The following is a 23,784-nucleotide window of genomic DNA, read 5'->3' as shown; positions in this document are numbered from 1 at the left end:
AGCCACTTCGCCCAGCCTCTTTCTGTTTCACAACACCTGGCATTTACATTTTTCACAGCCTTGTTCATACCTTGTGGTGGTTACCTGTTTCCCTACCCCTCTGCTAAGTAGTTTGTGAGCTTATCAAGAGTGGAGACTAAGTCTGATTCATTTCACTGTCCTCACTGCCCAGCCCAGTATCTTACTTAGTAGCTACCTGGTAAGTCTTTCTTGAATGGATAAGTAGGAGCCCCTCTCCTGTTTGATCTCCTTTTCTCCTCTCTTTTTCCCCTCTCTCCAAAGCCAGGAAGTCGCTGTGTTCCCTTCTTTTTAAGAACCTATTCTTGTGTCAGGTTTGGGACTATAGTTGTGGTTGCACCATCCCTGCTGGAGACCCCTGGCTGGGGCAGGCCCATGACTCTGGGAGATGGCTGACCATGTGTGGCCAGGATGGACTTGGGCATAACTGGCTGGAGTGTGTTAATCCACAGGCTTGGGGGCAAGGAGGGACACCTGGACCACTGGAATGTTGTGCACAAACAGGAGTCCTTGTGCTGCGCATGGAAGCTCATTAAGGGCTTCCAGGTGTCTTTGTCATCTCTAGAAATCCAGCCACATTTTCCTGGGGTGTGGGCCCTGATGATGGGACTGGCTGGGTATTCCCTTGTCACCTCTTCCTCCCCTCCTGTCCCGCTACTCACCTGGGACTTTCTGAGGGTCTCTCAGTTGTGCATAATCTCTGTGCTGATCTCCTCCCCTTCTGTGATTGGCGACAACTTCCCCTAGTATATGGTACGTTATTTACAAAGCTTCTTTAGGTCCTGAAACTCCTCACAGCTCTGTCCGGTAGATCAACATATCCCCCATTCTATAGGAAACTGAGAGTGATAACAGACAGCAAGTGTGTGGCAAAGCTGGGGTTGGAACCCAGAGCTCTTGCGTTCCAAACCTTGTGCTTACAACTTTGCCAGAGATGCTTCTCCTCTGGCTTTCTTAGGGGATGGGTTCCACCCCTTGCTTGAGCTGGGGAAAAATGGCCTTACGGATAGGTGGGCCCCTATGTCTGGTCTCTAATACCCCAGATCCTATAAATCCCTGGGCAGGCCTGTGTCCACAAGGAGCAGGCTTGGGATCCTGTAGTTTGCAGCCTTGTTGCTAGGTCAGGCTGGCTGCTTCTGGTAGCCAGCAGAGGGCGTGAGGGGCCCAGGAAAGGTCTGCTGCTTCTGGTTGGTTTTGTTTTGAAATGAAAATTATGTTTTAAGAGGTTATATGGTCATTATTTTTTTAATTAAAAAATAGGCATTTGTACAGGTTCATTTAAGTTGAACCTTCGTGGTGCCAGGTGTGCTTTGGAATTTAGGAAAAAAACAATTTATAAAACTTACCTGGTGTGTATACTTTGTGTTACATAACACCTCCAGCAGGGTCTGAGGCAGCACCTCATAATCAAACACCTGAATGTTTTCTGCATTGAAATATTTGAATATTTACCCCAAGTGGGATAAATAGATTCTTGTCAGTTCTGGTCAGGTTATGATGCCAAATGAATTAGATAAAGACTTTTGGGCCGGGCACAGTGGCTCATGTCTGTAATCCCAGCACTTTGGGAGGCCGAGGTGGGTGGATCACGAGATCAGGAGATCGAGACCATCCTGGCTAACATGGTGAAACCCCGTCTCTACTAAAAATACAAAAAATTAGCCAGGCATGGTGGCAGGCGCCTGTAGTCCCAGCTAGTCGGGAGGCTGAGGCAGGAGAATGGCATGAACCCGGGAGGCAGAGCTTGCAGTGAGCCGAGATAGTGCCACTGCACTCCGGCCTGGGCAAAAGAGTGAGACTGCATCTCAAAAAAAAAAAAAAAAAAAAAAGACTTGATTTTCAAAGCTTTTTGGGTTTAGTGTAACTTTATAAAAGGGAAAGTGCAATAAAATCGCTGATAACACCAGGACTTAGGGATATTTTGCTGTCTAGCCTTCCCAATTTTGTGTACGTGTGTTTGTATACATACATATGTATATATGTGTAGATATCTGTTAAATGTGTTCAGTCACAGATGAGAACATTGTTTGCACACTTTTGCCTTCTAGAGTATATCTCTTTTTTTTTTTTTTGAGACAGAGTTTCGCTCTTGTTGCCCAGGCTGGAACGCAATGGGGTGATCTTAGCTCACCGCAACCTCTTACCTCCTGGGTTCGAACGATTCTCCTGCCTAAGCCTCCCATGTAGCTGGGATTACAGGCATGCACCACCACGCCTGACTACTTTTGTATTTTTATTAGAGACGGGGTTTCTCCATGTTGGTCAGGCTGGTCTCGAACTCCCGACCTCAGGTGATCCACCCACCTTGGCCTCCCAAAGTGCTGGGATTACAGGTGTGAGCCACCATGCCCGGCCTACAGCATATCTTGGAATCCTCTAGCCCTTTGTCAGGTTCAGGATCTAGGCTCTTGCTAGTTACCCCCTCTTCACCACCTTTCCTAGATGAAACTCCTTGAGGTAGAGCCACATTCTCCACCCAGGCACTTGCTGGGTCTGAGTCTCTGGCTGCCTGAGGCAGTGTGGCTCCCTGGGCCAGGCCCTGCAAGGTCAACAGAAGCCATAAGGCATATGGGGCCACTGTTCTCAGGGCACCTAGGACCCTTTTGGAAGTAAGTCTTAGTTTCACTCAGCAACTAATTCCCTAAAAGAGTCTCCTACTTCACATGCATGGAGTGGTCAAACAGGGCTGAGAACTTTACCTTGGCCAGCGTCCTCTCTGTCAATGATCTAGGCCTCTCGGGAGCTTGAGGTCGGGGCCCTGGGGAGGGAGTACAGGTTTTCCCTGTTGCTGACCCCCACCTCTTCCCTCCAGCAGGAGCATTGGTTTGAAAAGGCCCTACGAGACAAGAAGGGCTTCATCATCAAGCAGATGAAGGAGGATGGCGCCTGTCTCTTCCGGGCTGTAGGTGAGTCTCTGCCTTAGTCCTTAAGGGCCTAGGGCTGCCCCTAAGCTGTGTCCCAGTTATCAGGAATAGCCCCTGAGACAGGGTTGAGGCAGAGCTAGCTAATCTTTTAGGGACTCTAGGCTCCAGCCTCAAGTTGGTATCTGACCTCTAGCCGTGGGTCTTGAGACATTGTAGTGGTGCAAGATTAATATGCATAATAACAGCAAGAAGAATGATAAAGAAAATAATATCCTTTGGGACACATTGTCAGGTGCTACAGGAAACCTCTTTGATTCCCCTCTAAGCTAGGTGAGTGTAGGGACTACTGTTGCTTCCATTTGTCAGATGAGAAAAGTGGCTCAGAGATGGTGGGTGACTTGTCTGGAGTGAAATAATAAGTGGTAGAGTTGGGATTCAGTGTCTGGGTTAGATTAGTCTGAGGCCCATGCTCTTAACCATAGCATACTGCTGCCACCCTGGGCTGTATGACCCCTAGGTTTATACCCAGATCCCATCTCTGGTGTGTTGCGGGTCTCTGTTCCTCAATCTGTGTGTATGGGGGCTATCAGACTAGATCTTTACAAATTTCTTATATCATAGAATTTTTTTTCAACTTATATAAAAGTAGAGAGAATGATGAACCCTCATGTACCCATCATCCAGCTTCAAAATAGTCAATACGTGGCCAGCCTTGTTTCATCACTATCCCGCCCACTCTTTCTCACTCCCCTGAAAGAAGAGTATTTTTAAAGCAAAACCCCGACATTGGATCATTTCATTCATAAATATTTCTGTATGTTTCTCTGACAGATACAGACTTACTCTCTTCTTTTTAACATAATCAAAATGCCATTACTGCACCTAACAGAATTAATAATGCCTTAATACCATCTGTTATCCAGTCTGAGTTAGATCTTTGAGGCCATTTTGGCTCTGAATCTGTGACCCAACAAGTAGTTGTGAGGTCCTGTGCTAGGGTGAAGGGGAAGCTGGGAATGTGACCTGATCCTCCCTGTGGTTCTCTGATATCTACCAAGGAAAAGTGCCCTCTGATAGGAGCTTTGAGCTGGGAGTCAGAAGACCTACCTTCTAGTTCTGGCCCTGACTCATAACTGCTGTGACACTTGGCCTTGGTCTTCCCGTCTGTGAAATGGTGTTGATTCTCAATGCCTCTTTGAGTTCCTTCTTGGTCTGCTATTCTCTCCGTCTGTGGGTACCCCCCATGTCTACTGGTGGGCTGGGGTGTTTTAGGCTCCATCCCTGGCTGCACAACTGATTCTTGGTATGACCTTAGGCAAGCAGCTCTTCTTTCCTGAGGCTGTTTCCTCATCTGTAAAATGGGGCTAAAAGACCCTAATGCTGTAACGATTTAATGAAGTTGCTTTGGTAAATCCCTTTAGTGCCTGACACATATAGTAGACCCTCATGGAACAGTAGCATTTGTAAAACCCAGATGCCATTTTCACTGGTGCCTCAGAGTCACATGTGTTTGTTGAAAGGGTGGAGTGAATGGTCTCCTCTCTATTCTGCCAAGCAGAAGAGGCTCAGGCAATGGGCTCTATTGGACTGGGAAAAAACTTATCCCTCCTACCCCTCTGGCTCAAGTTTGTGTTTTCCCTGGGATGTTTCCCAGAGGAAGAGCTGGGTTTCGGGGCATCTTGGACAAAAGAAAGGCAAAGAAAGAATAGGTGGGGGCCTGTTAGGTGCTAGGCCCTGTGTTGAGACCTCAGGCTAGATGTGGGGTAAGCAGGGCTTCTGGTGGAGTTAGGATTAGAGAATGCAGCGGGCATCTGAGTCTTGGGCAGTCATTGAGGGTAAGCCTTGGGACTGGCTAGTGAGGACCTGGCTTGTGTAGTAACTCATATCAAGAGCCGTGTGTGTGTGTGTGTGTGTGTGTGTGTGTGTGTGTGTATCTAGCTAGCTGTTCTCTGTGTGTGTGTGTGTGTGTGTGTGTGTGTGTGTGTGTATGTGTGTGTGTATCTAGCTAGCTGTTCTCCCCAAATACCCCCGACCCTTGGGGCTAGCTAGTGAGGACCTGGCTTGTTGTAGTAACTCGTATCAAGAGCAGTATTTGTGTGTGTGTGTGTGTCTATATGTATCTAGCTGTTCTCCCCAAATACTCCCGACCCTTCCTCCCACTGGGGCCTTCAGTAAGGGGCCTCTACTTACAGGAAGAGCTGACCAGGGCAGGTTGAAGGCCTTTCCTTATCGGCACTATGGCTACACATTTCCCCTGACTGGGCTGCCTTTGGCTTTTCTCTGTAAAACCTCAGAAGTCCTCTGGCCTCTCCCCCGAAGTACATGGCCCTTGGTCTCTAGACCTTATCTGGAGGTTTCCTTGGTGCAGAGTGCATAATACATGTGCCTGGGAAGGGGACTTTGTCCCTGGGCTTTTTGCTGCCCCCGTTTCCAGCCTCGCCTGGATGGGGACAGATGGCAGTCAGCTTAGACTGTAGTGTGAAGCCCTACAGGCTGACTTCCTGCCATGTGTTGAATAGTGGAAGGAACGTGGAGCAGAGAGTTGGAGTTGGGCGGGGGCTGCAAACATAGAGGGCACTGTTTCCTTGACCCCTGCTGTGTGCTAGGCATTCAGCTGGGTGCTTCAGGCTCACTGCAAAACTTGGATCATTATCCCATGAGACAGGTGAAAAGATTGAAGCATAGAAAGGGAAATGACATGCTCAGGGCCATTAGCCAGAGCTGGCCTGGGAACCCAGAGGTGTCCAAAGGACACGCATTCTTTTTTTTTTTTTTTTTTTTTTTTTTTTTTTTTTTTTTGAGATGGAGTCTCCCTCTGTCGCCCAGGCTGGAATGTGCAGTGGCGTGATCTCGGCTCACTGCAACCTCTGCCTCCCGGGTTCAAGTGATTCTTCTGCCTCAGCCTCCTGAGTAGCTAGGATTACAGGCGTGCACCACCACACCTGGTTAATTTTTGTGTTTTTAGCAGAGATGGGGTTTCACCATGTTGGTCAGGCTGGTCTCAAACTCCTGACTTTGTGATCCACCCGCTTTGGCCTCCCAAAGTGTTGGGATTATAGGCATGAGCCACCGCATCCGGCCAGGACACATTCTTTTTATGATCCTAGGATCCTTAGCTTCTTAGCTTGGTTGTCAACTGGCTGGATGACCTTGGCTGTGTTCCTTGACTTCTCTGGACCTTACCTCCTCCAAGTAGGAGCACGTGGCCCTCTGTTGTTGGGAGTCTTGAGGCAGGTGGCTTTCTGCCTTCTGTTCCCCTGGATTATCTTCCTATAGGGTCCTACCATTTGCTTTAGAGACTTCTGAGAATTGCCTACTCCCCAGGTAGCTGCCTGCCTGCCATTGGTTCCCCTGAGTTAAGCAATATCCATTGCTTGCGCTCAGTTCTCTCCCACCTCCTCTTATTGGGGATTCATGAGCATCATTGAAGGCTTGGGTGGAGTGGAGGTGGGAACCTGAGCCTCAGAGGTATCCTGTGGCCCACCCTGTCCCTGTTATGCTCAGATAACCTCCTCCTGGAAACATGACTCTGCATCTCTCCCTTGCTCCCTCCCTCCATGTGGCTTTGACTCAGCAGAAACCTCTAACCCTGACCAGGGTCCTGGTGCTAGCTTCTGTGGGCAGAGTGAAGGCCACATGGTTGTTTCTACATGGGCCATGGGGGAGTGGCAAGGGCTGTGCATGTTACCACGATGAGGCCCAGAAACATTAGCTAGGCCCACTCTTCTGGGCCTTTTGGTCTTGGAACATCAGCACTAGGAGGGATGGATCTGAGATCAATTTTGATTGTTTTATAAATGGGGAAACTGAGGCCTCAAGAGAAAGCCAAGACCCTACCCTATCTAGGTCATACAACCAGTGTCAGAACATTGGTATTTGAGGTTGAACCAGGCCACAGAAAGAAGATTCCCACGGGCCATTTCCTGTACACCAGCTTCCTTCAGCCTCTCCCGTGTATCCTTCAGGTTTCTCATCCTTGCAGTGGGAATCCTTGAGCAGAGGAGCACACATCTCAGGAACCAGACTATCCAGTGGGATGAGTTCTGTCTCTCCCACTGAGGGTATGCTAGTTGGGGTAGTTGGGGCTACAGACCAGGTCACACCACAGCTGCTTGACAGGCAAGTGAGACCTTTGTCCTGGCTCATCTCCTCAGGAGATTGGTTCTCAGTGGGGCCAGGGTTCCCACTGGACCAGGAGGGTAGTGGGGAGCAGACCAGGTCCCTGTCTCCCTCTGCAGCTGTGTGTACACACGTTAGTGTGGTTTGTTTTTAGGTTCCCTGTAGACACCTAGCTTCCTTTTTTGCCCTTAGCGGAACTTGCTGTGGCTCTTCTGGGAGGCAGGCAGCTACCTGGGGAGTAGGCAGTTCTCAGATGTCTCTAAAGCAAATGGTAGGACCCTATAGGAAGATAATCCAGGCTCTCATGTCTTGCTTCTTAACATAAATCTGGGTACATTATTGGTTACATTACATTAGTTACATAAGGACTTCCCCCGGGCAACAGAGGAGAGAGGTTGAGGCTAGTCTGTTAGAGCTCTTGGTTATTTCCCCTGCCCTCCACCTACCCTGCCAGAGGCCAGGAAGGAGGTTGGTGGGGTAGGGGGTCCCTCAGTTTATAGAGCCTCACATCTTCAGTCTTTCCTGAAGTGGCAAGGGCATCTACTCATTGAATGTGATAGTTCTCTGTTGTGGGATTTGTTGGGTGAGCATTTGGCCTCAGGGAGCATCTTTGGCAGTCTCTGCTGTATGTGTATACACATGTGCATTTCTATACTGGTGTCTCTGTGTGTCCAGAAAAAGGAAAGAAGTGGGGTGTGTATGGGGAGGGTAAGGTTCATATTGGCCTCTGTGGCCCTAGGGAGAGATGCAGCCCCTGATATCTATAATCTCTGCCCTCTCCCATGCCTTTCCTGGGTTCTAGCTGATTCCTGCTTGTGCTGGTGTGGAAACTGAGGCACACAAGATCAGGTCCTGCCCCAGGGAGTAAGGTGACTAAGATGGTGGCTGGATTGGGGTGAAGGTGGTAATATCAGCTGGGGCCAGCAGTTACCCTTTGAGAGCCTGGCCTCCCCTTCACTCCCCCTAAATCTGTGATCCCAGGCAAGCTTTGCCACATTTCTGTGTCTCCTGGGTAAAGTAAGAGTGTTTTGGTAAGGATAGAATGAGTTGGAGTGTGAAAAGTCTTTGGTGTGGGACCAATTGTAGTATTGTACTGAGGATTTCTGAGCCCTGTTTGAGATGGGAACAGAGGTAGAATGGTGGGGGACCCCCTTCCAGCTGGCCTCTGGGAGGGGAGAACAGGTGCAGATTGCCCACAAGTGCAGCGTCAGCAAGAGGAGGAGTTTCAGTTTCTATCAAAACAAGTTCTCTGAATTCCCCTACCTCTGCAGGTCATCCCCCCAACCTCAGACCCCTCCACAGGGAAGTCAAGCCTGGCCCCCAGCCCTGTGTGCCAGCCTTCTGGGAAGAGGAGGGCTTTCTGGAGGACAGAGGTGGAGCTAGGAAAGTCAGAAAAACGAATTCTTTTTTTTTTTTTTGAGACAGAGTTTCGCTCTTGTTGCCTAGGCTGTAGTGCAGTGGTGTGATCTTGGCTCATTGCAACCTCCACCTCCCGGGTTCAAGCGATTTTTCTGCCTCAGCCTCCCAAATAGCTGGGATTACAGGCATCCACCACCCTGCCTGGCTAATTTTTTGTATTTTTAGTAGAGATAGGGTTTCACCATGTTGGCTCGGCTGGTCTTGAACTCCTGACCTCAGGTGATCCACCTGCGTCGGCCTCCCAAATTGCTGGGATTACAGGCGTGAGCCACCACACCTGGCCAAAAATGAATTCTTGTTGAGTACTTCCTATGTGTTTAGCTCTGTGCTTAGATGCTTTTCCTGCCTTATATTATTGGAGAAATCCTTCTATTCTCCCTTGTTGGGGTAGTACTATTGCTGTTTTCCTTGGTTTGGAGATGTATATTTTCTTCCACGTTAATGATTCCAAACTTAGGGTATACCTTATAATCAGTGTGGTGTGTTTCCCCCCTCAAAAGCTGTGATTAGGTACATGTTATACCATATCACCTATCAGTGCCATCATAGGATTGAGGAGAGAAGGTGGTATTTTACATTTTACAGATAAGTAAAGAAGTGTCATAACTCGTCCATACTTTAGGACCCTGTTTTATGAAGCCTGTATTGTTAATTCGATATTAATTTAACTGCTGAAGTTTTGTTAGAACTAACGGCCTAGAGGTAGACTTGTGGACCTTTGGTTTCGCTAAAGGTAGAGAGCCAGGAGAGGACATGCATCCTAGGTCTGCATTTGGGGCTTTCCTCTGGCTGAGGAATTGCAACAGAAATGAGGAAGGGCTTCATAAGTGGTTATGGCAACATTCTGGCTGACTCGTGGGTAACTAGCATATGAAGGAATCATTGTCGTCATGACAAATTGTGTTCCTGTTTCTTGACCACCTACTGTGCCTTAGGTGCTTGGCAAACCTCCTGTGTAGTTTTGACAACACCCAGCAGATGGAAGAGGAGTTACTGTCTCCACCTTATGCATGAGGACATTTCAGCTTAGAGAGGTTAAAGGCCTTATCCATTGCTACACAGCTAGGAGGCAGCAGAGCCTTTCTGCCAGGCAAAGGGGTCAGTGGCAGAGAAATGGGACCCTCAGGGGGTTTTCCCCCAGATCCCTTCCCTGTTCCACAGTCTCCTCTCTTTCCCCATTTTCCTGCATCTGGCATCTAGCTCTTGAAGATAGAACTCCCAGGCCTGGAAATGACCGTTGACCTTTCCATAGGAGATGGGCTTTCTCCAGCACCTCAGCCTATCTCTCTGAGCCTGGCCAGCCAACCCCTATTTAACCCCTTCATTCTCATCTTTGTTCCTGTTTACTGCAGCTGCCAACAGCACTGCCTCCCAGTACCCCAAGCTCAGTCTACAGAAATAGCTCCCCAAGTAGCTCACTGTGCGGGCTCTGTGGTCCTGGCTTCTAAGAAAGGCAGCAGCAGGGGGCCCCCAGCCTGTGCGCAGGACATGTGACTTGCTGGAAATGCCGCTGGGGAGGGCGGGGGAGAGTGTGGCCGCAGAACCCACATCCTTGTTTACATTGGTGAAGGGGCTACCCCCCTTCCCGCCTTCACAACCTCCACACCCCCTTACCCTTCAGGTCTCTTCACCTCCAAGAGGACTGGAGACAAACATGGGCCCTATTTTCTATCTCAGAGTAGCCTTTCTCACAGAACACTCCAGGGTAGGAAGGGGAAGGCAGGGAAGGTGTTCTTCTGACAGTTCTTCAGAGAGGTAGACTGACAGGGAAGAACTCAGGAGTGTTCCTGTGTGACCTGACCCTAGCCCCATGCCCCAGGGAGATCCCATCAGAGCAGTGGTCCTCTGGGGAAACAAAGGGAAATTCCCAAAACCAGTGGAAATCAGACTTGCATGATCTTCAGGCCCACTTTAATTTCACAGGGAGAAGAGCTCCCTGGCTTACCCAGCCTATCCATTTGCTCAGTAAACTTTTCCTGATTTCCTTTACTGTATCGGGCCCTGAGCTGGGGGTGGACTTTGGTGTGAACTGCCCTTTGCCTTCTGTGGGAGCCCAGTGTGGTCGGGCAGAAGTCTATGCACACCTTTGATAAATCTGGTGATAGAGGTGTCCTGGGTAGTGGGGAACTGTATTAAAGAACATGTTGGGCCAGGCGCGGTGGCTCACACCTGTAATCCAGGCACTTTGGGAGTCTGAGGCGAGAGGATCGCTTGAGCCCAGGAGGTCAAGGCTGCAGTGAACTATGATCGCGCCACTGCACTCCAGCCTGGGCGACAGAGCGAGACCTTGTCTCAAATAAATAAATAAATAAAGAACACATTGGTGTTTGAGAAGTAGGCAGCTGACGAGGATGGAAGGAGCGTCCTGAAGAGAAGGAACGGCATGTGTGAAGATCCTCAAGCGAAGCAGAGGGAGTGTGTTTCCTTCTCGCCTTAGTTTGACCAAATCTCACGACGCCTGGACTATTCGGGCCACAGGCTGCCCATCCTGAGTTAAGCTAAAGTTAGTTGCATGTGTGTCTTATCTCTTTTACTAGACTGTGTGCTCCCCGAAGGTAGGGGCAGGATTTTACTCACCTCTGTCACCTTCACAGTACCCCACATTCAGGCCTCCCTACGGAGGAAGGAATTCTGATTTACTCTGTGGCTACTCTGTCCCAAGCCCAGTGGTAGTTATTTTATACCCGTTATCTCATTTAATCCCCACAAAAGGCCTGCCATTTGGTTATCCCTTTTTTTTTTTTTTTTTTTTTTTGAGACAGAGTCTTACTCTGTCGCCCAGGCTGGAGTGCAGTGGCATGATCTCGGCTCACTGCAACCTCTGCCTCCTGGGTTCAAGCGATTCTCCTGCTTCAGCCTCCCAAGTAGCTGGGATTATAGGCGCCCGCCACCATGCCCGGCTAATTTTTGTATTTTTGGTAGAGACGGGGTTTTACCACGTTGGCCAGGCTGGTCTCGAACTCGTGACCTCAAGTGATCTGCCCACCTTGGCCTCCCAAAGTGCTGGGATAACAGGTGTGAGCCTCCACGCCTGGCCTGTTATCCCTCTTTTTCCCATTTTACAGATGAGGTATATGAGGCTCAGAACACTTGGGTCACTTGCCTCTGGTCACTCAACTCTCTAGTATCTGGCAGAACTGGGCTTGGAGCCCATTTTTTTTTCTTTCCTTTTTTTGTCTTTGTTCCCTTTTTTTTCAGCCTACAAAGGCCATGTTGACTTGTAGGAGTCAGGAAAACTGAATTCAGAGTTGACTCTGTCACAGACTGACTCTTTGTGACCTTGGACAAACCACAAACTCCCCCTGAACCTCAGTTTCCTCATGTGGAAAGCAAAGGGGGTGTGGGAATCAATAGCATTTGAGGCCAACCTGTGGAACTTAGAATGTTGTTGATTTCTCTGAGTGGCCACGTGTACCCTAGACAAAGTCATCTGCCCAAGAGGCCTGTGGATGTGTTCCTCTCACCTGCACTCTCTTGTTCTTCAAGTCTGGCCCTGCCTGCCATATTTTTCCATGACCCCGTTCTAGCCTACAAGGGCAAGAACTCTCCAGGCCTTGGGGTAGAAAAGGGAATTTCCCTGGTCCCCCAGTTCCTCCTCCCCAAAGGATGTTCTATGATTCAGAGCTCTTCTCTGGCATCTCTGACCCTAGCTGCTGCTTTCTTCTGCCCCCACAGCTGACCAGGTGTATGGAGACCAGGACATGCATGAGGTTGTGCGAAAGCATTGCATGGACTATCTGGTGAGAAAATGGAGGCCTTTGGGGAAGGGGCAGGGTGGGAGGATTTCTTCTCCACACAGACCTTAACCTTCCAATCTATTCTGCAGATGAAGAATGCCGACTACTTCTCCAACTATGTCACAGAGGACTTTACCACCTACATTAACAGGAAGCGGAAAAACAATTGCCATGGCAACCACATTGAGATGCAGGCCATGGCAGAGATGTACAACCGTCCTGTGGAGGTGTACCAGTACAGCACAGGTACTTCTGCAGTGGGTAGGTGAGGGAAAGATGGTGCCTCATTCGAGCCTGCCCAACCTGGCCTGCTGTGGATGCTCCCTCCTTCTCTTTCTCTGCAGAACCCATCAACACATTCCATGGGATACATCAAAACGAGGACGAACCCATTCGTGTTAGCTACCATCGGAATATCCACTATAATTCAGTGGTGAATCCTAACAAGGCCACCATTGGTGTGGGGCTGGGCCTGCCATCATTCAAACCAGGGGTGAGTGGGTCCCTGTGCCCAGAATGGCTGCTGGATATAGAGGTCAGAAACCTCTGTTGGAGTCTGTTTTGCCCCTAACTCACAAAAATATCCTGTCTCCTCTCTCCCCTGAGGTCTCACCCTTACAAAAAAAAAAAAAAAAATAGGGAGTTACTTAAGGTGATCTCTCAGGGCTTGTTCTTTGGTCTTGGTTTGCCTGTCTGAGTTGGCTTACCTATCTTTTGTGCCCGTTGAGGGCTGGCATTTTAGGATGTGGAGTCCTATTTTGGAGCAGTGAGCCAGGGCTTGCTCTGGGCATCTTGGCATGGATCTTTCTCCTGGGATCATAGTGGTTACAGACAGCCATGGTCACAGAGACATGGGGTACAGGCCTGGCCCCACCACTCACTGGCTGTGTGATCTAGGCAGATTCTGTAAGTATTCCAGGCTGGCAGCTTGGCTGATACAGAAAGCACCTCCCACTGGGCCTGGGGCCTAGTAGGTGTTCAGAAGGTGGCAGTGCATTTTCCCAGCACATACCGATAGATTCTCATTCATTTCTCTCTCTCTCTCTTACAGTCATTTGCTGAGGATTTTGGTATCTTCTATTCAGGTTTCACTTCTACAAACACAAAGTACTCCTGCTTCATTTTCGGAAACACATAGCCTAACACCAACACACCCTCCAACATAGGGTTCTTTTTTGTTTTGTTTTTAAATAAACTTAATTTTAGAGCAGGTTTAGATTTACAGAATTACTGCAAAGAGGCTGGGCACGGTGGCCCACACCTGTAATCCCAGCATTTTGGGAAGCCGAGGCTGGCAGATCACCTGAGGTCAGGGGTTCAAGACCAGCCTGGCTAACATGGTGAAACCCTGTCTCTACTAAAAATACAAAAATTAGCTGGGTGTGGCAGTGGGTGCCTGTAATCCCAACTACTCTTGGGAGGCTGAGGCAGGAGAATCACTTGAAACTGGGAGGCAGAGGTTGCAGTGAGCCAAGATTGTGCCACTGCACTCCAGCTTGGGCGACAGAATGAGACTCTGTCTCAAAAAAAAAAAAAAAAAGTTACAAATATATTACAGAGTTCCCATATGCCTCGCTATGATTAATGTATTAACATAGTACATTTGTCATAGTTAATGAGCCAATATCGACATATTATTAACTAAAGACCATACTTGACTCAGATTACCTTAGTTTTTCCCTAATGACCTTTATCTGTTCCAGGATCCCATCCAGGGTGCCATATTATATTTAGTTGTTGTGTCCCCTTTATCTCCTCTTGGCTGTGACAGTTTCTCAGAATTTTCTTGTTTTTTGTATTCGATCTGTTTACTGACTCTCGTTTTGCCTTTTCTAGAATGTCATATAATTGGAAATGTACAGTATGTAGCTTTTTCAGACTGGCTTTTTTCACTTAACACTATGCATTTAAGATTCATCTGTGACTTGTCCTGGTTTAATGGCTCATTTTCTTTTTTGGTGGGCGGGTGGAGAGACAGGGTCTCACTCTCTCACCCAGGCTGGAGTGCAGTGGGGCAATCTAGGCTCACTGTAGCTAGCCTCCACTTCCCTGGCTCAAGCAAGCCTCTCACCTCAGCCTCCCGAGTAGCTGGGAGACTACAGGTGCTCGCCACCATGCCCGGCCAGTGTTTTAAAAAAACTTTTTGTAAAAAAATGAAAAAAAATTTTTTTTTTTTGTAGAGACAAGGTCTCACTATATTGCCGAGGCTGACCTTGAACTCTTGGGCTCAAGTGATCCTTGTGCCTCGGCCTCCCAAAGTGCTGGAATTACAGGCATGAGCCACTGCACCCAGCTTCCTCTTTTTCTTTCTTCAAAAATATGAATGTTCTGGCCAGGTGCGGTGGCTCACGCCTGTAATCCCAACACTGGGAGGCTGAGATGGGAGGATCTCCTGAGGTCAGGAGTTCGAGACCAGCCTGGCCAACATGATGAAACCCTGTTTCTACTAAAAATACAAAAAAAAATTAGCCGGGTGTGGTGGCACACACCTGTAATCCGAGCTACTTGGGAGGCCGAGGCAGGAGAATCACTTGAACCTAGGAGGCAGAGGTTGCAGTGAGCTGAGATTTGACCCCTGCACTGCAGCCTGGGTGACGGAGCGAGACTCTGTCTGAAAGAAAAAATAAAAATGAATGTTTTAAGTTTTTGTATTTAATAGACTTAATTGTTTAGAGCAGTTTTAGATTTACAGAACAATTGAGGAGATAATACAGAATTCCCACATATCCTTCTCTTCCCAAACACAGTTCTGCTATTATTATTATTATTATTATTATTATTATTATTATTATTATCATCTTTTTTTTGAGACGAAGTTTCTCTCTCATCACCCAGGCTGGAGTGCAATGGCGCAATCTTGGCTCACTGCAACCTCTGCCTCCCGGGTTCAAGCAATTCTCTTGCCTCAGCCTCCCGAGTAGCTGGGATTACAGGCACCCGCCACCACGCCCAGCTAATTTTTGTGTTTTTAGTAGAGACGGGGTTTCACCATGTCAAAGGCTGGTCTCGAACTCCTGACCTCAGGTGATCCACCCATCTCGGCCTCCCAAAATGCTGGGATTACAGGCGTGAGCCAACGCGCCCAGCCCAGTTCTGCTGTTATTAACAGTTCAAATCATTATGGTACATTTGTTACAATGTGCGAACCAACATTAATACTTTTTTTTTTTTTTTTTTTAAGGCAGAGTTTCTCTCTGTTACCCAGGCTGGAGTGCAATGAGGCGATCTCGGCTCACTGCAGCCTCCGCCTTCTGGGTTCAAGCGATTTTTCTGCCTCAGCCTCCCAAGTAGCTGGGATTACAGGTGCCCACCACCACACCTGGCTAATTTTTCTATTTTTAGTAGAGACGGGGTTTCACCATGTTGGCCACGCTGGTCTCAAACTCCTGACCTCAGGTGATCCACCCGCCTCGGCCTCCCAAAGTGCTGGGATTACAGGCGTGAGCCACCATGCCCAGCCTAATACGTTACTATTAAATGAAATCTGCATGCCTCCTTAGGCCCCTTTATCTTTGATAGTTTCTCAGTTTTGTTTTGATGACCTTGACAGTTTTAAGGAGTACTGATCAAATATTTTGTAGGAAATGTCTCTTTTGGACTTTTTCTCATGTTTAAACTAGGGTTGTGGGTCTTAGGGAGGAAGATCACAGAGGTAAAGTGCCATTGTCATTACATCATTTCAAGGGTTTATACTATGAGTGTCATTTATGCCTGTTGGTGTTACCCTTGATCAACTGGCAGAAGTAGTGTTTGTTAGGTTTCTCCACCTAAGGTTACTCTTTCCCACCTTTTCCATACTGTACTGTGTGGAAGGAAGTCACTATGTGCAGCCCACGCCTAAGAAATGGTTATGCCCCATCCCCTTGAGGGTAGAGTATCTACATAGATTATTTGGAAATCTTTAAGGAGGATCTGTGTCTCATCCTTAACTCATCCTTAATTTATTAATTTTTCCAGTTATTACGTACATCAATATGGTCTTTTTTTTTTTTTTGAGAGGGAGTTTCGCTCTTGTTGCCCAGGCTGGAGTGTAAGGGCGCCATCTCAGCTCACTGCAACCTCTGCCTCCCAGGTTCAAGCGATTCTCCTGCCTCAGCCTCCCGAGTAGCTGGGATTACAGGCATGCGCCACCACACCCAGCTGTTTTTTGTATTGTTTAGTAGAGATGGGGTTTCACCATGTTGGGCAGGCTGAAGTCTCGAACTCCTGACCTCAGGTGATCCACCCTCCTCGGTCTCCCAAAGTGCAGGGATTACAGGTGTGAGCTACTGCGCCCAGCTCAATCAGCCATTTCTTTAGAGAGCCCTGGCATGTATTGGAGACTGTTAACAGAAATCAAGACCTAGGTGTTGAATGTGCTCTTCGATATCAGGTTGTCCATGCTTCTAGGCCCTGTCAGCTGATAGAGCAAGGAGCTACATGTATGTATAGTGGCCTTTGTACACATATCTATAAATATTTCTACCTGTAACCATCTGTATTTATATTAAACATGAATCCTTACTGATGTCTCCAACTCAGATCCATTATCACATGCTTCATTCTAGCCTTCTCCCCTTGTTCATCTGCAAATTCCCTCTCCAACAGTAGATACGCCATCAGATGTATATGCACTGGTTCCTACCATCCATTTATGTAACTGCTCATTTCCATATACACGCGTAGCAGAATCACACTTGTTCACCCGTACCCCCGTGGGAAACAACTTTATCACTATAGCTCAATGCTACATATAGTTCTTTTTTGCCTTTGGTGTTACAGACTCCATTCATTTTGAAAGTGACCTACTTGTACCCCCACCCCCTTCAAATGAGGGTGTTTATTTTTATTTTATTTTATTATTATTATTTTTTGAGACAGAGTCTCGCTCTGTCGCCCAGGCTGGAGTGCAGTGGCGTGATCTCGGCTCACAGCAAGCTCCACCTCCCAGGTTCACACCATTCTCCTGCCTCAGCCTCCCGAGAAGCTGGTACTACAGGTGCCTGCCACCACACCTGGCTAATTTTTTGTATTTTTAGTAAGAGACGGGGTTTCACCGTCTTAGCCAGGATGGTCTCAATCTCCTGACCTCGTGATCCGCCCGCCTCGGCCTCCCAAAGTGCTGGGATTACAGGCGTGAGCCACCGCGCCCGGCCAAGGTTGTTTCATGTTTGTAATACATTTGTATTATTTTGTCACATTTTTGCATTCTATGCTGGGATCTCAGATCTCCTAATTTTTTATTTATTTATTTTTGAGACAGAGTCTCACTGTCGCCCAGGCTGGAGTGCAGTGGTGCGATGATCTCAACTCACCGCAGCCTCTACCTCCTGGGTTCAAGCAATTCTCGTGCCTCAGCCTCCCGAGTAGCTGGAATTACAGGCATGCACTACCACACCTGGCTAATTTTTGTATTTTTAGTAGAGACGGGGTTTCATCATGTTGCCCAGGCTGGTCTCGAACTCCTGACTTCAGGTGATCTGCCTGCCTCGGCCTCCCAAAGTGCTGGGATTACAGGCATGAGCCACCGCGCTGGCCATAGATCTCCTAATTTTTATTTTATTTTATTTTATTTATTTATTTATTTTTTGAGACAGAGTCTTGCTCTGTCACCCAGGCTGGAGTACAGTGGTGCGATCTCGGCTCACTGCAACCTCAGCCTCCGTGGTTCAAGTGATTCTCTTGCCTCTGCCTCCCGAGTAGCTGGGATTACAGGCACGCGCCACCACGCCCAGCTAATTTTTTTGATTTTTAGTAGAGACAGGTTTCACCATATTGGCCAGGCTGGTCTCGAACTCCTGACCTCAGGAGATCCACCCACCTTGGCCTCCCAAAGTGCTGGAATTACAGGCATGAGCCACCGTGCCCAGCCTTCCTAATTTTTTTTTAAATAGCATATATTAAGGTCCACTCTTTGTGTTGTACATTCTATGGGTTTTGACAAATGTGTAATGTTATGTATCTACTATTACAGTATTATTCAGAATAGTTTGACCACCCTTAAAATTCCTCATACTCCATATGCTTACCCCTCCCTTCCTCCCTCTTCCTGCAAACACTATTGTCTTTGTGGGTTGCCTTTTTCAGAATGTCATATAATTGTAATCATACAGTATGTAGCCTTTTCATACTGTTTTTTTTTTTTTTTTTTGAGACAGTGTATCACTGTTGCCCAGGCTGGAGTGCAGTGGCACAATATCACTGCAGCCTTTACCTCCTGGGTTTAAGCAATCCTCCCACCTCAGCCTCCCAAGTAGCTGGGACCACAGGCACACACCACCATGCCTGGCTAACTTTAAAAATATTTTTATTTTGTAGAGACAGGATCTCACTGTGTTGCTCAGGCCAATCTCAAATTCCTGGGGACAAGTGATCCTCCCGCCTTGGCCTCTCAAAGTGCTGGTATTGCAGGGGTGAGCCACCTGCAGCCAATTTGCTTTTTTCCCCCCTGAAATTAAAATGGTCAATGTGACAGACTGCTTCTTTTCACTTAGCAGTATGCATTAAGGTTTCTCCATGTTCTTTCATGGCTTGTTAGCTGGTTTCTTTCTTATCACTTAATGTTCCTTTTATGGAGGTACCAGTTTAATTATTCACCTATTAAAAGACATTCTTGGTTGCTTCCAGTTTTTGATGATTATGAATAAAGCTTCTGTAATGTGCATGCAGGTTTTTTTGTGGACGTAATTTTTTAGATCAGTTGTATACATACCTGGGAGCAAGATTGCTGGATTGCGTTGTAAGATTATGTTTTGATTTATGAGGAACTGAGAAACTGTCTTCCCAAGTGGCTGTATTATTTGCATGCCCACCATAATGATTTGGAAGTTCCTGTTGTCAGCATTACCAGCAATTGATACTGTCATTGTGTTGGATTTTAGCCATTCTCTTAGGTGTGTAGTGGTATCTCATTATTTTAACTTGCAGTTGCCTATTGGCAAATGCTGTTGAGCATCTTTTCATATGCTTATTTGCCATCTGTATAGCTTCTTTGGTGAATTGTGTTTGTGACTTCCTGACATACAATTCCTAAAATCCTTAGAATCTGCAAAGTGTTGCCTTTTTGTATGCTAATGAGGTGACTGATGGCTGGCAGCCTCTAGGTAGCTTCAGGATGGGGGCTGGTGACCTGAAAGACCAAGGCAGGATTAGAGGTTTGCAACTTTAAGCCCATCCCCCAGCCTTTGGGGAGGGGAGAGAGGCTGAAGATTAGGTTGATCACTAGTGTCCAATGGCATAATCAATAATGCCTGCATAATGAAGCTTCCAAAGAATCCCAAAAGGATTGGGTTCTGGGAGCTTTTGGGTAGCTGAATACATGGAAGTTTCTAGAGGGTGGCACCCCAGGGAGGGCATGGAAGCTCCACGTCCCTTCCCCCATATCTCACTCTGTGCATCTCATCTGTATCCTTTGTAATTTTCTCTATAATAAACTGGCAGACGTGTTTCCTGGGTTTTGTGAGCTGCTCTAGCAAGTTAGTTGAACCCCCAAAAAAGTATTGTGGGAATCCCAATTTATAGCTGGTCAGTCAGAAATTCTGGAGGCCCAGACTTTCGACTGGTGTTCGAAGGGGGTTGGGGGGAGTCTTGTGGGACTGAGCCCTCAACCTGTGGGATCCCAGGCTGTCTCTGGGTATTGAATTGCATTGGAGGATGGACACCAGGTGTCCGCTGCTTGCTGTGTGGGAAAACACCCTCCCCCCAGCCCGCACACTTGGTCACAGAAGTCTCCTGTGTTGATTGTTGTTGAGTGAGAGTAGAAAAAACACTTGGAGTGTGTTTAACACTGCCAGAGTGGTTAGATTTTTTGACTATTTTTTTAATTGGCTTGTTCTAACATAGTTTTACGAATTGTTTTTAACTATTCACAGTAAAAAATTACATTTTATCTGAATGCAAGGTCTGCAGGAAAAAGAAAAGAATACATTTTACATGATTACTTAGCATATATGCATTTGTGTGTGATGTGTATATGTGCATTAAAATAATGTTAACTAAAGCTTCATGAAACAACATTTGCACTTATTCCCTGGGATATATTCTGATATTTTCTATTTTTTAAAAATGCTGTTGGATCTCAGCCTGAAAAACAGTACTCTGATGTAGTGTCCTGTAACTCATAGCACCCCACACCATGTTGATACTGCCCCCTTATTCCCTCACACACCCACTACTTCCCCCAACCCCTCACATGCTTGAATACTCCCTCCACCCGGTGCACACATAGCTAATTTTTGTATGTGTCTCATCTGCTCATGTGTGTGAAAGTCCTCAACATTATGAAACAGTCATCACTGGATGGGGCTTCTTTAAATTAAGGCCCAGGGCCAGGTGCAGTGGCTCACACCTATAATCCCAGCACTTTGGGAGGCCGAGTCGGGTGGATCACCTGAGGTCAGGAGTTCAAGGCCAGCCTGGCCAACATGGTGAAACCCCATTTCTACTAAAAATACAAAAAAGTTAGCCGGGGGTGGTGGCACTCACCTGTAATCCCAGCTACTTGGGAGGCTGAGGCTGGAGAATCCCTTGAACCTGGGAGGCGGAGGTTGCAGTGAGCCGAGATTACCCCACTGCACTCCAGCCTGGGCGACAGAGCGATACTTCGTCTCAGAAAAAAAAAAAAAAATAAGTCCCAGGTTGGAAGGCACCTGACTGCTCCAGTCTCAGTGCCTCAGTTGAGGTGGTTTGGGGGTTAGAGTCAGGTCTTACAAGCATAGGAGTTTGGAATGACAGGTCCCACATCCCAAGCCTGCTTTCCCTTGGTCCCCAATCAAGAGGTAGTCTGTGGAGTGTTGCTCTTTGGGAGTACCTGCTTTCCTGTCTCCTTTTTTTTCTGGGGCCTGTGGGCCTACCTCGCTGAGCCTGTTCTGGCTCTTGGGCAGGTTCAGTGTGTTATTGCACATCCCTGTTCCTCTCCCTCCTTGCAGTTTGCAGAGCAGTCTCTGATGAAGAATGCCATAAAAACATCGGAGGAGTCATGGATTGAACAGCAGATGCTAGAAGACAAGAAACGGGCCACAGACTGGGAGGCCACAAATGAAGCCATCGAGGAGCAGGTGGCTCGGGAATCCTACCTGCAGTGGTTGCGGGATCAGGAGAAACAGGCTCGCCAGGTCCGAGGCCCCAGCCAGGTGGGTCATGGACTCTGTCACAGGCTTGGCCAAAAACTCATTACTTCTCATGCTTTGCCCTCAAGCGAGCAGAAAAAAATTAAGCAGTTTTGACATCTGGGAGGGAAGGAAGCATCCAGCACCATCTGTAACTCATCTTGGTCTTAGTTTTGGCATTGTACCTTGGAACTTTAAATACTTGTGCAGAACAGGCACTTAAGGAGTGAGAGGAGGGCAGCCATGCTGCTGGTGACACGAGAATAATGGATAGCTTCAGAGACACAAGCTTTTGTTGACTGCCCTTGTGTGCCAGGTCTCTACTGAGAATGTAACATCAGATCTGGACTACTCTGCCCTCAACGATCTCGTCTGTTGGCAGAGACAACTCAATGGTGGGGTCCTTGACCCTGACTGGGAGATCAGTGGAGGTGGGGGCTCCGGTTAGTCTTCACAGAGGAAGGTTGAATTGTTAGGGGAGCGGGGAGGGGCGGGGCAGACAAGCATCTGAGGAATTGTAAAATCGCAAGGAGTTTGGAGTGATTGTAGATGTTGGCTGGCAGGAGCTGAGTTTTTTTTTTTTTTTTTTTTTGGAGACAGAGTCTTGCTCTGTCGCCCAGGCTGGAGTGCAGTGGCGCAGTCTCGGCTCACTGCAAGCTCCGCCTCCCAGGTTGATGCCATTCTCCTGCCTCAGCCTGCGGAGTAACTAGGACTACAGGCGCCCACCACCACGCCTGGCTAATTTTTTGTATTTTTAGTAGAGACGGGGTTTCACCGTGTTAGCCAGGATGGTCTCCATCTCCTGACCTCGTGATCCGACCACCTCGGCCTCCCAAAGTGCTGGGATTACAGGCGTGAGCCACCGCACCCGGCTGAAGGAGCTGAGTTTTATTCCACAAATACCTACTACCAGTCTGTGGCAGGCCCTGTTTTCAGTATATGGGGATACATAGGTGAGCCCAGCAGACCAAGATCCCCGTCCTTGTGATGTTCACAGTTTTGCAGAGTGAAATAAAATAATAAATATAATGAATAAATTAGTTGGGAAGTGCTATGGATGGAAAGTGTAGAGCCAGGATAAAGGGGCTGAGCAGGAATGTGCGTTCACGGTATGAAATAGCGCAGTCAGGGTAGGCCTCAGAGCAGGTGAGATTTGAGCCTTGCAGAAGGTGAGAGTTAGCTGAGCGCACATGGAGGGGAGGACAGCAGGCCCACACACCTGGTACAACTCAGGCACAGCCCAGAGGGAGGCCGGTGTATCCGAACAGAATGTAGTAGTAGATGAAGTCAGAGAGGTTGTGGGTCCAATTGGGTAGGGGCTTGTGGGCTGTGGCGAGGACTTTGGCATTTACTCTCAGAGAGGCAGAAACCATGGGAGGATTGTGAGCAGAGGACGGACAGGATGTGGTTGGGGATTTAATAAGATCGCCTTGCCTGCTAGTCATCCAGTGGAGTCTGGTGAGTGAGGGCAGAAGCAGGGGCCAGTGAGGAGGAGGCTACTGCAGTAGGCCAGGTGACTGGTGGCCAGTGCTGGCAGTGGAGTTGGTGAGAAGGGGTTGGATTTGAGATCTATTTTCAAGATAGAGGTAACAGGGTTTCCTGTCAGATTGGCTGTAGGGGTGTGAGAGAAAGGGTAAGGAGCTCCACCTCTGTCCTGTGAGGAGTCTTGTGGTCCACCGTGTGAGTGGGGATGATGTTGACCTACATAGAAGCTGTATCATAGCCAAGGTCCTGGGAAGGGAGCCAGCATTCAGGGATGGGTCACAAGAAGGTCATGGCTGCTGGTGGTCCTTAACGCATTTACCTTCCCCGCTGCAGCCCCGGAAAGCCAGCGCCACATGCAGTTCGGCCACAGCAGCAGCCTCCAGTGGCCTGGAGGAGTGGACTAGCCGGTCCCCGCGGCAGCGGAGTTCAGCCTCGTCACCTGAGCACCCTGAGCTGCATGCTGAATTGGGCATGAAGCCCCCTTCCCCAGGCACTGTTTTAGCTCTTGCCAAACCTCCTTCGCCCTGTGCGCCAGGTCAGTGACTTGCCCACAGGGAATGTGCTGGGAGTTAGGAGGCACGTCCTGGGTCCTGGGTCCTGGATCCTGGGTCCCTACCTTTGACTGTCCGTCTGCTTCAGGTACAAGCAGTCAGTTCTCGGCAGGGGCCGACCGGGCAACTTCCCCCCTTGTGTCCCTCTACCCTGCTTTGGAGTGCCGGGCCCTCATTCAGCAGATGTCCCCCTCTGCCTTTGGTAAGCCTCCTTTGTCTGGGGGGATGGAGGCTGCTAGGAGCTGGGAGAGACTGGAAGAAGTGGCAAGTCCTGAGAGGGGCTTTCTGGAGCCTCTGGCCATCTCCCCAAGAAAAGAAGGGAGAGGCACTGGAGGGGATTTTTCAGATCCAAGGAATTTGCCCCAGAAGGGTCTGGGGTCTAAGTGGGGTTTCACAGGCCTAGCAGATCCTTCTGTTTTGAGAAAGGAGTGAGAAGGGCCCTATGGGATTTCTCCAGAGCCCCAGATGTCGGCACAGGGTGAGGAGAAGGCAGGCTGAGAGCGCT

General features: G+C 48.3%; 1 protein-coding gene across 15 annotated transcripts in view, besides 11 other annotated features; it reads left to right on the top strand.

Moving 5' to 3' along the window:
- Window positions 1-23,784, top strand: part of OTUD5 (OTU deubiquitinase 5) — a 36,358-nt gene that overhangs the window by 11,268 nt on the left and 1,306 nt on the right. For 7 of the 15 annotated variants that reach the window (XM_024452397.2, NM_001136159.2, NM_001136158.2 and 4 more), the window contains exons 2-8: window positions 2,831-2,924; window positions 12,096-12,160; window positions 12,247-12,403; window positions 12,502-12,650; window positions 21,064-21,267; window positions 23,062-23,263; window positions 23,368-23,481. In XM_024452397.2, coding sequence (XP_024308165.1) covers window positions 2,888-2,924; window positions 12,096-12,160; window positions 12,247-12,403; window positions 12,502-12,650; window positions 21,064-21,267; window positions 23,062-23,263; window positions 23,368-23,481 — 928 coding nt within the window. In that variant the 5' untranslated portion in view covers window positions 2,831-2,887. Of the gene's footprint in view, window positions 1-2,830; window positions 2,925-10,762; window positions 10,924-12,095; window positions 12,161-12,246; window positions 12,419-12,501; window positions 12,651-21,063; window positions 21,268-23,061; window positions 23,264-23,367; window positions 23,482-23,784 lie in introns of those variants that run through there. The other 8 variants (XM_017029630.2, XM_006724537.4, NM_017602.4 and 5 more) reach the window with 2 other exon arrangements.
- Window positions 4,545-5,745: a transcriptional cis regulatory region, noted in NCBI's record as "genic|chrX:48798640-48799830 region (GRCh37/hg19 assembly coordinates) targeted for CRISPR interference". NCBI's record gives its function as "positively regulates PIM2 gene expression in K562 erythroleukemia cells {active_cell/tissue: K562}" and the evidence as "EXISTENCE:mutant phenotype evidence [ECO:0000015][PMID:31784727]".
- Window positions 4,870-5,406: a transcriptional cis regulatory region, noted in NCBI's record as "genic|chrX:48798965-48799505 region (GRCh37/hg19 assembly coordinates) targeted for CRISPR interference". NCBI's record gives its function as "positively regulates PQBP1 gene expression in K562 erythroleukemia cells {active_cell/tissue: K562}" and the evidence as "EXISTENCE:mutant phenotype evidence [ECO:0000015][PMID:31784727]".
- Window positions 5,835-6,985: a transcriptional cis regulatory region, noted in NCBI's record as "genic|chrX:48797400-48798550 region (GRCh37/hg19 assembly coordinates) targeted for CRISPR interference". NCBI's record gives its function as "positively regulates PIM2 gene expression in K562 erythroleukemia cells {active_cell/tissue: K562}" and the evidence as "EXISTENCE:mutant phenotype evidence [ECO:0000015][PMID:31784727]".
- Window positions 6,160-6,660: a transcriptional cis regulatory region, noted in NCBI's record as "genic|chrX:48797725-48798225 region (GRCh37/hg19 assembly coordinates) targeted for CRISPR interference". NCBI's record gives its function as "positively regulates PQBP1 gene expression in K562 erythroleukemia cells {active_cell/tissue: K562}" and the evidence as "EXISTENCE:mutant phenotype evidence [ECO:0000015][PMID:31784727]".
- Window positions 6,550-6,809: an enhancer, noted in NCBI's record as "active region_29624". NCBI's record gives its function as "activates an Ori minimal core promoter by ATAC-STARR-seq in GM12878 lymphoblastoid cells {active_cell/tissue: GM12878}" and the evidence as "EXISTENCE:reporter gene assay evidence [ECO:0000049][PMID:35858748]".
- Window positions 7,940-7,989: an enhancer, noted in NCBI's record as "active region_29623". NCBI's record gives its function as "activates an Ori minimal core promoter by ATAC-STARR-seq in GM12878 lymphoblastoid cells {active_cell/tissue: GM12878}" and the evidence as "EXISTENCE:reporter gene assay evidence [ECO:0000049][PMID:35858748]".
- Window positions 8,000-8,499: an enhancer, noted in NCBI's record as "active region_29622". NCBI's record gives its function as "activates an Ori minimal core promoter by ATAC-STARR-seq in GM12878 lymphoblastoid cells {active_cell/tissue: GM12878}" and the evidence as "EXISTENCE:reporter gene assay evidence [ECO:0000049][PMID:35858748]".
- Window positions 9,381-10,154: an enhancer, noted in NCBI's record as "H3K27ac-H3K4me1 hESC enhancer chrX:48794231-48795004 (GRCh37/hg19 assembly coordinates)". NCBI's record gives its function as "activates a minimal SCP1, AML or CMV promoter by ChIP-STARR-seq in naive H9 embryonic stem cells {active_cell/tissue: H9 hESC(naive)}" and the evidence as "EXISTENCE:reporter gene assay evidence [ECO:0000049][PMID:30033119]".
- Window positions 19,019-19,657: an enhancer, noted in NCBI's record as "OCT4-NANOG-H3K27ac hESC enhancer chrX:48784732-48785370 (GRCh37/hg19 assembly coordinates)". NCBI's record gives its function as "activates a minimal SCP1, AML or CMV promoter by ChIP-STARR-seq in naive and primed H9 embryonic stem cells {active_cell/tissue: H9 hESC(naive and primed)}" and the evidence as "EXISTENCE:reporter gene assay evidence [ECO:0000049][PMID:30033119]".
- Window positions 22,597-23,103: an enhancer, noted in NCBI's record as "H3K4me1 hESC enhancer chrX:48781288-48781794 (GRCh37/hg19 assembly coordinates)". NCBI's record gives its function as "activates a minimal SCP1, AML or CMV promoter by ChIP-STARR-seq in naive H9 embryonic stem cells {active_cell/tissue: H9 hESC(naive)}" and the evidence as "EXISTENCE:reporter gene assay evidence [ECO:0000049][PMID:30033119]".
- Window positions 23,104-23,611: an enhancer, noted in NCBI's record as "H3K4me1 hESC enhancer chrX:48780780-48781287 (GRCh37/hg19 assembly coordinates)". NCBI's record gives its function as "activates a minimal SCP1, AML or CMV promoter by ChIP-STARR-seq in naive H9 embryonic stem cells {active_cell/tissue: H9 hESC(naive)}" and the evidence as "EXISTENCE:reporter gene assay evidence [ECO:0000049][PMID:30033119]".

Source organism: Homo sapiens, chromosome X, assembly GCF_000001405.40.
Source record: "Homo sapiens chromosome X, GRCh38.p14 Primary Assembly".
In the NCBI taxonomy this organism is placed as follows: Eukaryota; Metazoa; Chordata; class Mammalia; order Primates; family Hominidae; genus Homo; species Homo sapiens.
The sequence above is the reverse complement of the archived record's forward strand: the minus strand, read 5'-3'. Positions and strand labels throughout refer to the sequence as shown.